The sequence below is a fragment of the Homo sapiens genome, chromosome 4 (assembly GCF_000001405.40).
Source record: "Homo sapiens chromosome 4, GRCh38.p14 Primary Assembly".
Lineage (NCBI taxonomy): Eukaryota > Metazoa > Chordata > Mammalia > Primates > Hominidae > Homo > Homo sapiens.
Genome location: NC_000004.12, coordinates 10,543,031 through 10,559,949, shown reverse-complemented (window position 1 = coordinate 10,559,949; position 16,919 = coordinate 10,543,031). Strand labels below are relative to the sequence as shown.

At 41.7% G+C, this 16,919-nt stretch overlaps 1 protein-coding gene across 3 annotated transcripts in view; it reads left to right on the top strand.

Moving 5' to 3' along the window:
* Positions 1 to 16,919, top strand: part of CLNK (cytokine dependent hematopoietic cell linker) — a 248,452-nt gene that overhangs the window by 174,897 nt on the left and 56,636 nt on the right. For all 3 annotated transcript variants that reach the window (XM_011513775.3, NM_052964.4, XM_017007684.2), the window contains exon 8: positions 1,498 to 1,543. In XM_011513775.3, coding sequence (XP_011512077.1) covers positions 1,498 to 1,543 — 46 coding nt within the window. The remainder of the gene's footprint in view (positions 1 to 1,497; positions 1,544 to 16,919) is intronic.

Below are 16,919 nucleotides of genomic sequence, written 5' to 3'. Positions count from 1 at the left end.
GTAGAAGACAGAGATGTTACTAAGCATCCTACAAGGCACAAGAATTTTCCAACCCCAAATCTCAATTCTCAGTAGTACCCAAACTGAAAAATCTGTTACAATGTACCTGTGAATCCAAGCTGGTATTTTTCTTTGTTCCCTCATAATCTAGCATTGCCACAGACACATTAGTAGGTACTAGTAAATATTTATTTGACAGAAGTTGGGAATTGCCCCAGGGGAGGGACAGGAAATATTCCTGGGCCGGGGAATCCTGTACTAATTCTGCTGCTTGGGACTACTTGGAGCCCCATCCTAAGACCCTGAGATTGCAAATCCCACCTAAGACGGAGACAATGGGAACCTCTCCTGCCTCCATGACCAGGCTAGCAATGCAGCATGGGGCATGAGCATTGAGAGAGACTCCCTCTGTGGGGCAGGCACACAGGGAAGATTAAAAGATGAGCGTGCACAAGAACATTGAAAAAACCCTCTGGCACCCCAGTCCCCACAAGGTAACCCTGGAGAAATTGAAAGCTGATGGTGTAATGAAGAAGTCAATAGCCACGATAAAAAAAAATAATCCAACCAACACTCAACCCCTAATTAGATATAACCAAAAGAAGAAGGGCCACGCCCTTTCCAGGCATAAATACTGTGGTTCAATGTTCCACAGAGGATAAGAGTAATGGGGGATTCAATGGGCCCCTGACCCACCATGCCCAACTCAACCTGGTGCCAATAAAGACTAATACTAAGACCCTAATATTAACCTAGGCTTAAAGGTTTTCAAAGACGTAGGGACCCCTTTATGATCTTCATCTTCTTCACCTTTATGTCTTCCAGTTGTGTACCCCTTAATAGTTCACTAATGCCTTTAATAATATTAATAGTGATACATGAATTCAGTGTGGTTAGCGACACCTGTGTTCTCGGCACAGTGCTTGTGTTCCGTGTTGTCGTCCCGTCCTCAAAAGGTATCAGTGCTTTTGTTACCTCCATTTCACAGATAAGGAAACTAAGCCTCAGGAAACTGAGGCTAAGTAATTTGTCATGTTCTCACAGTCAGCACGAGCTGGAGGTGGAATCCTAACCCAGGCCTTCCCATGAGGCCATACCCTGACCTGCCTGCCTCATTGCTTTCATGTACCTGATCCCATAGATGGATCTTCATGTTAACTCAGGGACATGAATGATGAGCATTTTTCCTATGATAAAGATGAAAAATCTGAAGTTAATAATATACTCAGTGTCTTTTCCAAAGCCAGCAATAGAGGCAGGATTGGTTCTCAATCCCACGTGTTTTTATACCAAACACCACTCAAGCCACTGCACCCTTCATTGGCAGAGGTGCATGTATTTATACATGTTTGTTGACAGCCAACCATACATTGAAAACCAGAGAGCCCAGGGACTTACGGCTTTATCCTTGGGAACCTAACCACAGAGAGTGTCAAGACATCAGATAGTGTCATAGTCACAACTGAAGAGATAATGGTGCCTCATTGTCTTGTACAGGTGGACAAACCCATTTCCAAGGACGTCAGAAGCCAAAACATTAAAGGTAAAGTCATGTTAATCGAAGTTTAAAATGTAAGTATGAAAACATCTATTTTGCTTCTAAGATCCTCTCGCATTACTGTTTGTGGTCATGGGTGATCTTACACAAGGTGATCTATTGAATTACACTTCAGGAAATAACTATCTAATTTTAGACAGAGTCTCACATACTTTATGCCTATTTATTGCCTTACCTTATTGATGAAGAAATTGATTGTAAAAATTCGTATTCTTTGTTGTGCAATTTTGGAAATGAATTATTTTGAAACATATGGATTGCATTAAATATATAATCATGTTATCTCTCCAAGCATACCCCCAGAAAAGCCACAAGATAGAAATCTAATTTTAAAACATTGATTAATTAATATGAAAACAGATTTTAAGGCTTTAGGCAAAACAACTCAATTTGAAGACGAAAATACAGGTACGAGCCTAAAAGCAAATAATCAATTTCAGTAGTGCTAGAAGCATAAATGGAAGATAAGCCCAAGACATTTAATGGTATTGTATCCATTATAGCTTCTCTCATCATTTTCCCCCGTGCCCCTATCTCCTCTTACAATGCTTGACTGGAAAAGATGACAATGCCAAGATTCACTTTGCCCAATAATTGAAACACATCAAATTCACCTTTCATGTGTCTAATGCTATCATCTATAATGTATTACTAGCGCCATCTTTTCTTTAATGGGAAAGTGTACCAGTTAGAGTCCCAAGAGGGAATAGACAGCACACTCAAATTAGGATAATTTAAGGAAATTTATGGCAAAGAAACTACTTACCAGGTGATTGTGGTATAGGGGGAAGAACAAAGAATGGCACAAGAACCATGGCTGACAGCAGCGGGGCTGGCCCTACCCCTAGATGCAGAGGGATGAGGGGACAGTTACTGAAAACTACAAGGAGCACACCGCCTGGAGAGGAGCAGTGATCACTGGTCCCGGGACACCACTAGCCCAGGCAGACTTCTTGGGGAGGGGACCAAGGGAGTAAATGCCCCATCTCTCTCTCCAACCTCCCTGTGACCTCCTGTTGGGGCTTCCCAATGGCTAAACCTAACTAGAAATGAGAGGATAGGGCAGTCCCTGTGTGTCCCTACTGGTCAGTGTCCCCAGGCGGAGAGCAGGGTAGAGAAGGGTGAAGGTGGAGGGAGGTTCTGGAGGGCAAATGGAGTACACTCACAGCAGGAAGTGCCAGCGCAGTGAAAAGGGGACAGAGAGTAGCCAAAACCTAAGGCACACTCCCTGGCTGTGTGACCTTAAGTAAGACCCCTAACCTGAGTTCTCCATTTATTTATTTATTTATTTATTTATTTATTTATTTATTTATTTTGAGACAGAGTCTCGCTCTGTTGCCCAGGCTGGAGTGCAGTGGCGTGATCTTGGCTCACTGCAACCTCCGCCTCCCTGGCTCAAGCAATTCTCCTGCCTCAGCTTCCTGAGTAGCTGGGATTACAGATGCATTCCACCATGCCTGGCTAATTTTTGTATTTTTAGTAGAGACGGGGTTTCACCATGTTGGTCAGGCTGGTCGCGAACTCCTGACCTCGTGATCTGCCCACCTCGGCCTCCCAAAGTGCTGAGATTAACAGCTGTGAGCCACCACACCCGGCCCTTCTCCTTTTCTTTAACCAGCACATTAATTCACCACCTGGTGAATTATGTAGAGAAAGTATTTTCACTCCTCTTAACAGAGAAAGGGTTGGGAAGCATTGAGGGATCACAGACCAGACCACAATCATCTGTTACAAAAATGGCCTCAGTCATAATAATATGCTTTGTAGGCACTCATGAAGAAATGAGTCCTGGAGAGAAATCAGATGAGAAATGAACTTCATAATTGCCATCTGATTTATAGTTCACTATGGGCATCCACTCTCACTTCTTCGGCTGCAGAAATTTCTTCGACCATTATTCCACATATCAGTATGTCTGTTTACCTCTCTATCTGTATGTTTATCTACCCTTTGCCTCAGTTCACAAAGATATTAGTTAATAAAAACTTGAACAATAAAATAGAAGAAAATCTACATAGATGACATAATTAAAATAAAGATAAAATGTAAGATCCTTAGGCACACATCACTAAATTCTATAATTAAACTGTTATTTTGCCTCTGAGCTACCTGGTAGTCTAAGCAAAAAGGGAATCAAGCTTCCTTATGTGGTATGAATTTCCCATTACAAGAAACAAACCAGTTCCTCAGAGACAGCAAGAAAAACACATCTTGTAGGATTAAGTTAGTGCTCTGTTTTGTAGCGAATGTTGGCTGATATATGGGTCCCATGACTACAAAAATATGAGCGTTTTGTAAAGCAGACTCCAGTGTAAACTGAGGCCACAACTGCAAAGAGGACTTCAGTGAAAGCAAGGCTCAGAGAGGTTGAGGCTTTTGGGGGTGGGGCAGGTTGTATAGAAGACTTCTCCAATAAGAGTTATTTTCTTTACATCATCCTTTTCTATATTTCCATAATTGATGGTTCCCCATTACCATCCAGAGCTCTAAGGTACCATATCTAGAACAAGGCTGGAAGGGGGGAAATTAATATGAATGCCCCCCCCATTTTAGGATCAGGCATCTTGCTTAAAAATGCTTGCATGATTTATGTGTTTATTACAAAATTCTGTATTTTTGATGCAAACACATTCTCAGATAATTTATTCACTCTCACAAAAATATCATAGAATAAAACATATTGGTTGGTTCAGTAATGGCAGATTTTATGGTGATATTTTTCATCAAGTTGAGCAGTTATAGATTTATGTTAATGTACATTTTATGTCATTTTTCTTGCAATCATATTCTTACATTTATCTGTAAACTGTCAGATTTCAAGAACTTATCATCTTCCCTAAAGCTTGACTTTTTGTTTTTCATTCCTAAAAATAGGTAAAAGTTTATTTGGAGGCAAAGTATTTACAATACAAGTTATGTGTGACGAACCACTAGCATTAACCATAGATCTAGAAGAAATAATCTTATTTTCAGATAGGAATAGCTATAATTTTCAAATACAGCGTGGTTTATTTTTCTAGAGAAACCAAAGCTGAGAATAAAGGAAGCTAAATTGCATTTTCTCTTTGCCGTAGATGTGAACCAAACACAAACTCTAAGCCAATTTCCTTTGAGGTGACAAGCATACCATATACAAGAATGAATTTATAAAGAACTACAATAAGCCTCCAAGAAAAGAAAAAAAAAATTATGCCTAGGCTAGTGAACATGTATATCCAGAAACACGAGCTGATTGAAAAGAAGCAAAGTAGAATTCCACAAAATGCCATCAAAAGACCTTTATACTAGTTTGCTTTTAGACGAGTTTAGATGCTGAAGAAATTAGAATCAGAAATGAGTTTAATCTGGGTCAATTCTCTCATTTTACATAAGGAAGGGAAGTGGCTTGCTCAAGGCCATCAGCAAGTAGTCACAAGACCAGAGCCAAGGTTTATTCCACTATGGTAATGTTGCCAGGGTTTTCTGTGTTTGCTAGTGTATAAAATGTATTCTCCCTCTCATTTCGTAACGAACATCCCATTCATCCAGACTATACAAAGCGCAGTGCCAGAGTGAATTGATAGATGATACTGCTCCCTAGTGGCAGAACTTGGCAACACACAACTTTGCAATAATGATGAGATTGGTTATCTTCTATCCTTTGCAGAAAAAACACGCCCGAGGTTGCAGAATTGATCAGAAATAAATGTAATATTATTCTTCTACCATTTTAGATGTAAATGTGTTTCAGCCACAACCCATGGCTCAAAAGCAACAGAGACATTGATATAATGCTCATTCAAAGTTAACGTTATTAACTTCATGAAATCACTCATTAATTGAACTACAGAACAGTATTTTTTCTCACTACCAAACAAGAAAAATAATAGGCCTCAGAGAAAAGGAAAGGAATATGTAACTGTTTGATATAACAAATTTATTTTCTGATACAGAAATATGAAGTAGCCAGAAACAAGAGACTGAAAAACAAGGTATTTAATAAAAGAAGCTCCAGAAAATTTCTATCCCCCAAATAATAATTCCCTAATGAAGTTTCAGTTCCCCATAGAATTGCAATGTACAAGAACTGCCTTTTACATAAGCAAAGTACGGCCTTCCCCATGAAACCATTTCAAAATGACTTGAAATACACGCATAATGAAAAGCACTTTTTCTTTTCCTTGTAATGTTGGGGTGTTCACTGGAATCAACCATCCCAGTTTGCTCTGGATGGAGGGGTTCTTCAGAAGCAGGACATTCTAAATTAAAAACAGAGACATCTGGGGTAAACTGGGACTAGCGGCCTCTATACCTGCATGTCTTACATGCAAGCCAGCAGAATGGAAGAGTTATTTTGTTAAGTTTTAAAATAGCAGAATCTCCACGATCCAGCCCCTCCTTGTAACTAAGGCACAGCATCCCTTACAGATAATTGAGTGGCCCAAGAGCCTCACCACCTTCCCAGGAAGCACACCCTACCTTTAAGCAGCCCCAGCTCTTTACTTTCAGCTAAGTATAAGGAACAGCAATGTCTTCCTACAACTTCCTCCCATTGGTCCTTGCTGTAAGACACAATGAATGAAGCTCTAAGTAGCTCAAAGTACAGTTATCTGAAACTAATTGTGTGAGATGTTGAGAATCATATTAAATAAAAGAGAAGGCCAAGCGCGGTGGCTCACGCCTGTAATCCCAGCATTTCGGGAGGTCGAGGCAGGCGGATCACGTGAGGTTAGGAGCTTCAGACCAGCCCGGCCAACGTGGTGACACCCTGTCTCTACTAAAAATATAAAAAAATTAGCTGGGCGTGATGGTGTCCACATGTAGTCCCAGCTACGGGGGAGGCTGAGGCAGGAGAATTGCTTGAGCCTGGGAGGCGGAGGTTGCAGCGAGCCAAGATTGCGCCACTGCACTCCAGCCTGGGTGACAGAGCAAGACTCTGTATCAGAAAAAAAAAATAAAATAAAAAAATAAATAAATGGGAAACTCTGGATGCAGTAACCTTGAGAAACACTGAGTTAAACAAAAATAAACAGATCTTTTTACTGACCAAGTTTTTAAGAGCATTGTGGATCTCCAAGAGGGGGATATGGCACGGAGCATTTGTAACTTAAGTGTCCATGGAACCTGCTTTTTCTGGGATCACATTCTTTGGCCCATGCTCCTTAGAACACATTTTAGAAAAACCTAGATCGACTCATATATTAGTTTCAATTCTGGGTTCACAGTACATTTCCTATTCTGAGTAGTTTATCGGGTGTTATAAATGATCCATTGTTTGGGGCGGATATTCCTTAATCTATGAAAGCCACATCTACAGACAGCTTGTGAACGTAAATGCTTCCGCCCCTGCATGCCCCCCCCTCCTCTTCCTGCCAGTCCCTGGGGGAGCGATGAACAGTGATAAGTTTGCCCTCTCTCTTTTCTACTTAGTTTTTCTAATTCCATATCCTACATCACAATGTGAAGAAAAGGCCATTAATAATAAACATGAAATTGGTATAGTAAAAGCTGCTTGTATGGAAGGGACAGAGAAGATTATAATGCAGGATGAAAATGGGTACACATGTAACCGCCCGAGGGGTTCTTCCTGCCCACTGCATAAAGAGAGACCAGGGCACTGCCGTAGAGAAAGAGTTTAATAGACACGAGGCTGGCCACACCACGTGGGAGATGTTCATACACAAATCGTCTCATTCAAAGCTCATAGGTCAGCGGTTTCCAAAGGCAGTTTGGGGGAAGGGATGGGAGGGCAGGTAACAGGTGCTTGCTGCTGATTGATTGGGGTGGAGATGAAATTATAGGGGTTTGAAGCTGTCTTCAAGCAGATGAGTTACTTCTGGGTGAGGCTACAGGAGAGAGGTTGGCACTAAGGTGGAGGCATTGGGTTTAGGTGGAACCATGGGTGTCAGACACGCATGCAAAAAACTGGGAAAGATATCTCCAAAGGCCGATCTACAATAGTGGTGTTATCTGCAGGAATAACTGGGGAAGTTGCATGTCTTATAACCTTGGCAATAGTGGCTGACAATCGTTTATGTCTGCGCCTTAGCTGGACTCAGGCTGTTCTTGTCCCCCCAGCCTGATGGCTTCCCATTAGCTTTACAAAAGTGGTTGAGTTTGGGGCAAGTCCTATTATCATTTAAACTATAGCCTGAATGTGTTCCAAAGGTAGCTTTGCCCAATAGCCCAGGAGTAATTAAGGAAAAGATAAGATGGGGAGTGAGTTAGCTTGGCTTACTATTAATATTATAATTCTCGGCCGGGCGTGGTGGCTCACACCTGTAATCCCAACACTTTGGGAGGCTGAGGTGGGCAGATCAGGAGGTCAGGAGATCGAGACCATCCTGGCTAACACGGTGAAACTCCATCTCTACTAAAAAATAAAAAAGCACAAAAAATTAGCCCAGCGTTCTGACGCGCACCTGTAATCCCAGCTACTTGGGAGGATGAGGCAAGAGAATTGCTTGAACCTGGGAGGCAGAGGTTGCAGTGAGACGACATCATGCCCCTACACTCCAGCCTGGACGACAGAGTGAGACTCAGTCTCAAAAAAAAAAAAAAAAATTACAATTCTCTCACTGATATAATCTTTGCAAAGGCAGTTTTACATAGAGGGGAAATATAGCTTATTTCATCATAATTCAACCAATAATATTTAGTACCTCCTATGTGCTCAACACTAGGGCTGGCTATTTAGTTGTTCAATAAGCCCGTAAGCCCCATAATAAGCTCTCTGAACAGAACATTATACTTATGTTTTATTTCTGATTGTATTTCATAGTTATTTCTGATTGTATTTCATAGTGTTATTGCATGATTGTATTTCATAGTTAAAGGGTATTACAGGAGGGGGTGGTGGCTCATGCCTGTAACCCCAGCACTTTTGGAGGCTGAGGCCAGTGGATCACTTGAGCCCAGGAGTTTCGAGACAACTCAGGAGCCTGGGCAACATGGTAAAACCCCAACTCTACTAAAAAAAAATATATATATATACAAAAAAATTAGCCGGGCATGGTGGTGCACACCTGTAATCCCAGCTACTTGGGAGACTGAGGCAGGAAAATCGCTGGAACCAAGGAGGCAGAGGTTGCAGTGAGCCAAGACCACACCACTGCACTCCAGCGTGGGCAACGGAGCGAGACTTGGTCTCAAAAAAAGTGGGGGGGTGGTCTTGCATATATTTACCACAAATTGAACAGTAGCTAAGTGAAAAACAAATACAGAAGTCCTCCTTATCCTCAGTTTCACTTTCCACAGTTTCAGTTACCCATGCTCAACCAAGGTCTGAAAATATCAAGTGGAAAATTCCAGAAATACATAATTCATAAATGTTAACTCGCATGCTGTTTCTGAGCGGCACGATGAAATCCTGAGCAGTCTCACTCGAATCATTTCTTTGTCCAGTGTTTCTGTTGCGCTGTGTCCATTATCCACCGGTTAATTGCTGAGCAGTCATCTCGCCCACCAGATTCGCTGCGTGGAATCTCAGTGCTTAGGTTCAAGTCACCCTTATTTTACCTAATAATGGTCCAAAAGCGCAAGAGCAGTGATGCTGACAGTTCTGATTTGCCAAAGAGAAGATGTAAAGTGATTCCTTTAAGTGAAAAGGTGGAAGTTCTCAACTTGAAAAGGAAAGAAAAAATATTGTATGCTGAGGTTACTGGGATCGACAATAAAAATGAATCTTCTATCCGTGAAATTGGGAAGAAGGAAAAAAAAGTGTGCTTGTTTTGCTGTCACATATCACCTTTATCATAGGTCTGTATATTTAGGAAAAGCATAGGATATATAGGGTTTATTACTATCCTCAGTTTCAGACATCCATCGTGAGTCTTGGAACATTTTGCCTTAGGATAAGTGGAGGGCTGCTGTAACTTAAGTGTATGTTTATGTAATTTTTTATTTATTTATTTTTTTTGAGACAGAGTCTCCCTGTGCCGCCCAGGCTGGAGTGCAGTGGCGCGATCTTGGCTCACTGCAAGCTCCGCCTCCCGGGTTCACACCATTCTCCTGCCTCAGCCTCCCGAGTAGCTGGGACTACAGGCGCCCGCCACCACGCCCGGCTAATTGTGTTGTATTTTTTAGTAGAGACAGGGTTTCACCATGTTAGCCAGGATGGTCTCGATCTCCCGACCTCGTCATCCGCCCGCCTCGGCCTCCCAAAGTGCTGGGATTACAGGCTTGAGCCACCGCGCCTGGCCTATGTAATGTATTTTTAATAATGGCTGTATGTAAAGCCAGTTCACAGAATTTCTGAAAGTTTAACAACCATCCATTGCAAGCTGGCAGCAGCCACTCCAAAGAACAATCCCTTAACTCTTTTTCCTTCTTCAAGAGGTCTTACTTTAACCCTCCCAGAACACGGTGATATTGACAATGTCTTCATGGTTTCACCATAATAAGTTGTGGTGGAAACAGTCAAACCAAGGTCCATCGGATTCTGCAACCATGCTATGCCCACCTCAGTACATTACCTACCCAAAAGCAGTAACTTTGTGAGATCTGTCCTGAGACTGCAAAGCCAATGAGTCTCTGGGCAAATGGTGCTAATTACACGTTATGACCACCAGGTGGAGAGCATGCCTGGCTTCTCCAAGAGAAAACTGGAGATGGGAAAGACTTTGAACAACTGTTTGGGTCCTCTTGTTTGACAGAGAACTTTTCCTAGCATTTTAGAATATTTGTGTACTTCATTAGGGAGGTAAATTCCCGTTTTCCCTCTAATTTTTCATACTATAATAATAGTAGTAACTGCAGCTGTGCATTAAGAACCATGCCTTGAAGTGCATCAATTCATTTATTCCACACATGAATTTCCATGAAGTATAAATAAGCACTCCTTACTTCTCCAGATGGGGAAATTCATTCACTCCTCAATCCATTTGTTTATTTCATAAACATTCATTAAGCACGTGCCATGATCCTGCCCATAGTATGAACAGGATCAAGATTCAATCTTAACAAATTCAGTTCCAAAGCTCACCCTCCTTTAAATATCACAAATACTTGATTTATTATTGCTTTATTAAATAAGGCCCCCAAATTTTAAGAAGCTTTCTGGAATTTATCTGAATTACCATCAAAGCTGTATAATGGTAGACAAGTTACTTTGCTTGTTCAATCCAGTTTTTTTCACCTGCAAAGTTCCTTAAGTTCACCTTAACCTCTTACTTTGAAGGATTTTGGTTAGCTAAGCAATGATTAAGTGAAGCTCATGGTATCAGCACTTGCCAGTCGGCATATTTGATGCGGCTGAAATCCCCGTGGATTTTTGTAACTATTGCCGATATTATACTACACAAAAATCTTAAAAGGGAGGGAGGAATACTAAGTGAGGCTAGAAAAAATAATCCTACATTATAATGAAGACACAGGACACATGGACAGTGTATCATAAAGATTCACCCTGAGTAACACAAAAGACCCTGAGTGGCCAAGGCAATCTTGAGTAAAAGGAACAAGGCTGGAGCCATCACACTTCCTGATTTCAAATTACATGACAGGGCTGTCGTGGTCAGTGGTACACCAAACATGCACACAAGTAAGGCAGAGTGCAGAGCCCAGAAATAAATGCATGCATTGATTAAACTAATTTTTGATGAAGGCATCAGGAATACACAATGGAGACAAGATGGTCTCTTCAAATAGTGGAGAGACTAGATATTAATGTGCAGAAGAACAGGGCAGGACCTGTTCCTCTGCACAGGGCAGGACCACGTTCCTCACACCATGCAAGGAAATCAATTTGGGGTGGATTAAATCAACTTGGGGTATACCCAAAACTACAGAACTCCTAGAAGAAAACATAGGGAAAAGATCCTTGGCATTGTATCTTGCCAATGACTTTTTGGGTATGAGACCAAAAGGACAGGCAGCAAAAGCACAAATAAACAAGTAGGGCTACATCAAACTAAAAAGCTTCTCCACAGCAAAGGAAAGAATCAACGGAGTAGAAAGGCAAACTACAAAATGGGAGAAAATATTTGCAAACTATATACCTGATAAGGGTTAATGTTCAATATAGACAAGGAACTGATACAACTGAAGAGCTAAAAAATGAGTGACCTTATTGGAAGATGTCCAAAGGATCTGGGTGGACATTTCTCCAGGGAGGAAATACAGGTAGCCAACACATATATAGGAAGTGGTTCTCAGCATCACTGGTCATGAAGGAAATGCAACTCAGAGCCACAGTGAAATATCACCTCACACCTCTTAGGATGACTATTACTTAAAAAACACACACAAAAAACAAAAGATGGCAAGTGTTGGCAAGAATATGGAGAAAAGCGATCCCTTGCACACAGTTGGTGAGAATGTAAATTGGTACAGCCATTATTGAAAACAGAATGGAGTTTCCTCTAAAAAATTAAAAATAGACATACCTTATGGTTCACGAATCCAACTTTTGAGTATATACCCAAAGAATTGAAAACAGGATCTTGAAGAGCTCTCAGCACTCTGTTCATGGCAGCATTATTCACAGTAGCCAAGATATGGAAACAGCATAAGGGTCCATAGACAGATGAATGGATCAAAAAATTGTGGTATATACACACAATGGAGTATTTTTCAGCCTTAAGGGGAAGGAAATTTTTCCATTTATGACAATACTGATGGACTTGGAGGGCATTATGTTGGGCCAAAACAAGTCAGACGCAGAAAAATGATGCTGTAGAATCTCACTTACTTGTGGAACCTAACACAGTCAAACTCATAGAAGCAAAGAGTAGAATGGTGGCTGCCAGGAGCAAGGAGGAGGGAGACATAGGAAGGTGATGCTTAAAGGGGACAAAGTTTCAGTTATGGTGCACAAATAAATTCTGGAGACCCACTCTACCACATAGTGCCTACAGCTGATGACACTGTACTGTGTACTTAAAGTTTGCTAAGAGGATAGATATTATGCTAAGTGTTCTTACCAAAAAAAGAAAATAAAATAAAGTAACAATAACAAAAAGGGCAGGAGTCAACTTTGGTAAGTGACAGATATGTTTATGGCCTTGACGGTGGTGTTGATTTCATGGATATGTACTTATCCCCAAATTCAATCTTAATGTGTACAGTAAATATGTAAAGCTCTTCTATGTCAGTGATACCTTAATGAGGTGGTTTAAAAAAGATTCACCACAGTTAAGGCAAAGTTTTTGCGCCATTGTACAAGACCCCATGTGATCTGGGCACTCTCCCACCTCTGCCATCACCTATCTGGGCTTACCTCCTCCTCGTGCTCATCCCACCTGCTATAATTCAAGTGTCCCTTCCAAATCTCATGTTGAAACTTTGTCCCCAATATAGCAGTATTGACAGGTGAGGCATAAAGGGGTAATTGGATCATGAGTGCTCTGCCCTCATGGATGAATTAGTCCATTAATGGATTAATGGGTTAATGGGTTAATAGATGAATGGATTGTCATGGAAGGGGAACTGGTGGCTTTATAAGAAAAGACACCTGAGCCAGCATACTCAGTCGCCTTACCATCTGATCCCCTGCACTGCCTCAGGACTCTGCAGTAAGTCCCCTTCAGCAAGAAGGCTCTCACCAGATGCATCCCCTAAACCTTGGTTTTCTTAGCCTCCACAACTGAAAGAAATAAATTCCTTTTGCATATAAATCATCACCTAGTTTCCATTATTCTGTCTTAAGCAACAAAAAAAAACAGACTAACACAGAAAATTGGTGTCAAGAAGTGGAGTGTTGCTGATAATGAATACCTGAAAATGTGGAAAGCAGCTTTGGAACTGAGTAATGGGCAAAAGTAGAAGAATTTGTAGGAGCAGGATAGAAAATGTTTAAATTCTGGCGAAAGCTTAGAAGACAAGAAGGCTAAGTAAAGTTTGGAACTTCTTAGTGATTAGATAGGTGGTTGTGACAAGAATGCTGATAGAAATATAGACAGTAAAGGCCATTCTGATGAGGTTTGAGGTAGAACTGAGGAGCAAGATATTGAAAACTGGAATAAAGACCATTCTTGTTATAAATTGGCAAAGAACTTGAATGAATTGTCTCTATGCCTGAGGGTTTTGAGGAAGGCCAAACTTGAGAGTGATAAACTAGGATATCTAGCAGAAGAAAATTCTAAGCAAAATATAGAAGGAGCTGCAGGGTTATTTTGGCAACTTACATTGATATTTCAGAGCAGAGAAATAATTTACAGAATTTTTAATTAAAAGAGAAGTAGAGTGGATAAATTTGGAAAACTCAGCCTGGCCACATAGAGAAAAAGTCTTCAGAGGAGAAAACCAAGGGTATATCCCAGTGACCATTTGCTAAAGAGATTAACAGGGATAGAAGTGGGCTAGATGCTATCCCTCAAGACAATGGAGGAAGGACCCCAAAGGTGTTTCACAGATCTTGAGGCTGCCCTCTTATCACAGGCCTAGAGTTCTAGGATGGAAGAAAGGTTTCAGGGGATAGGACTGGGGCGCTGTCTACCAGCTCACTGCCCACAGCTACCCTGGGACTCTGCTTCCTACACTGCAGCACAGCACTTCATGGCTGCCCGGCTCAAGCAACCCCAGTTGAGGCCCTTGTACTGAAGCTCTGCAAGGTACAAGTTTTAAACCTTGGCAGTATCTGTGTGGTGCTAATTCTGCAGGCTTGCAGAAAGCAAGAGCTGTGGAGGCTCAGCAACCTCCAACCAGATTTCAAAAGACGTCAAAGGCCTGAGGACCCAATCAGAGACTTGTCACAGGAGTGGAGACATGCAAAAAGCCCCCACTAAAGCTATACAAAGCAGATATGTGGTGTTGAAGCTAATGGAGTCCCCACCAGGGCAATGCCTAATGGAGCCATAGGAGCAAGGCCACTGCAGAAAATCCCCACTATGGTAATGGGAGTGAGCCTGCCACCAAGACCCTTGAGCTGTACAGCTACTGGTGTGCATTGCCAACCTGGGAGAGCTGGGTGGACTAAGCACAACCAAGCTATAGGGGTGGGGTGTCCCGAGGCCTTGGAGGCCCTAACTCTTGCTCCAGTGTGCACAGAATGCCAGACGTGGAATCAAAAAAAAATTATTCTGGAACCTTAGGACCCAAATTCTTCTTTCTTGGGTTTCAGTCTTGGGTGGGGCCTGTTATCCCTTTCTTCTTGCCTCTTTCTCCCTTTTAGAATAGGAATGTGTACCTTATGCTTGCCCCACAATTGCATCTTGGAAGTAGATAATTTGTTTTGATTTCACAGGCTCACAGAGGAGACTCTGAACTTTGGACTTTTGAGTTGGTAGTGGAATGAGTTAAGAATTTGGGGCTACAAGGAGGAATGAATATATTTGTATGTGAGGACATGCATTTCGGTGAACCAGGGGTGGAATGCTGGTTTGAATGTCCCCTCCAAAACTCATGCTGAAACTTCATCCCCAGTGTGGCAGTATTGAGAGGTGAGACCTTTAAGAGGTGATTGTATGATGAGGACTCTGTCCTCATAAATAGATCAATCCATTCACAGATTAATGAATTAATGGGTTATTGAGTTCTGATGGAAGGAAAACCGGTGGCTTTATGAGGAAAGGAAGAGGGACCTGAGCTAGCACATTAGCACAGTCAGCCTCCTCGCCATGTGCTGTCCTGCACCGTCTTAGTACACCTCAGAGTCACCACCCGCAAGAAGGCTCTCACCACATGCCCCTCTTTGTTCCTGGACTTACTTAATTTCTAGAAAATCACCTAATTTCAAGTATTCTGTTTTAAGCAACAGAAAAATGAACTGACACCACCTGAGGACTTTTGCCCTTGCTGTTTCCTCTGTCAGGAATCCCCTTCCCAAGATATCCACAGGACATGCTCCCTCGCTGTCCTCAGGCCTCTGATTTCATCCCCTAACCACAGATGCCTCCTCAGACCAGCCTAAAACACAGTAGCCCCAGCTCCTACTCTCCGCACCGTGCTGTCCTCCAATCTGCTTTATTTTCTGCATAGTGCTTGTCATCACCCATGAACGTTTATTTATACTTTTGTTTATGTATCTCCTAACTCCTGCCACTGAATGTAAGCTTCATGGGAATAGCAACTTTATTTGTTGGTGTTATACCCCCCAACACCTACATCAATGCATATATTAAAAATGAGTCCATACCTAACACATACTATGTGCTCAATAATAAATCAATGAAATAAAAGAAGATAGATGTCCTATTCTAAACTCACAACCCCTGAAGAAAACTGGGTAGATATCTTGAAAACCACAAAGGGAATTTTCCTATTAAATTACAGGAACTCAGTCTCTTTATTGAATTCTTTTTCCAGTGAATTGAATTGATCCCCAATAGATAGAGTGAAAAAAGACCTCTTGGAAAGCCAACATCTAGTTTTGCAGGGAAAGTCATCAACACAGGCAGCAAGATGGTCCACCAGGGAGCTCTGGAGGTGAAGCCAATAAACAATAAGATGAAAGGAAATTAATTTTATGTTTTATAATTTTGTCCCTTAAGCAAGCATTATGTGGCCTAAGCTTTTTTGTGATTTCCTTGAAATAGTCAAAGATCTAATGTTAACCAGATTGCTGCTGTTGTTGAAGTAGATCCTGGGTCATATTTTGTGTTTTCACAATGCCAAGGACATCAGTTATTTCTGTGTGCAATCAGTGTTTGGAATTCATATAAAGAAGTGAATCCTACCTATTTCAAAAGTGTTTTTCAAAAATGAAAACAGAAAGGAAGAATGGTAATTTTATTCTTATTCTTTGAAGTAATTGTTTTAGACATAGAAGAGCCATTAAAATTATACAGACCAGTTTGTGCTGTGTTGCATTGTGTTGTGTTGTATTGTGCCAGTTGGACCTTTCACCAAGGGGAATCTAAACAGGCGGTGCAGTGGAGAGCGGGCTGAAATTAAGCCCTTAATGACATGGGGTGGTGAACCAGTAACCAGTCCCCCTGCGCCCAGGCACCACGGGACTTCCAGGGGACAGTGCAGGAAGCTCTTCAGCACATGGTTAAAAATCACTGATTTAGTCCAACCTCCTTGTCTCACAAATGAGGAAAGCAAAGGATGCTCAGTGTGAAGCCACCCAGCCGGTGTTCAGTGGAGGTTTAAGTCTCCTATAACAAAAGATAGACATTTTCTCACTGATTCCCCAACAGCCATATAAAATAGCATTTATTACACCACGCCCATTTTTAGAGATAATCAAACATTGCTTTTCCAAGGAGCCTTCTTCTGACAACCCAGAGTAACTTAAGTGTCCCACATATTCATTTAATACTTTGTCCTTCTCTACTTGACATCCTTATCAGATTGTTCATGATGCCTTCAATGCCGGTCTACCCACTAAGGTATAAAGCCTATGGCAACATGTTCGGTGACAGCCATCTTCACAGTGTCACATCCCCAGAGCCAGAAGCTTGGCCTGTGAACACCCCAGCTAGGAGCACCTTGACAGGAA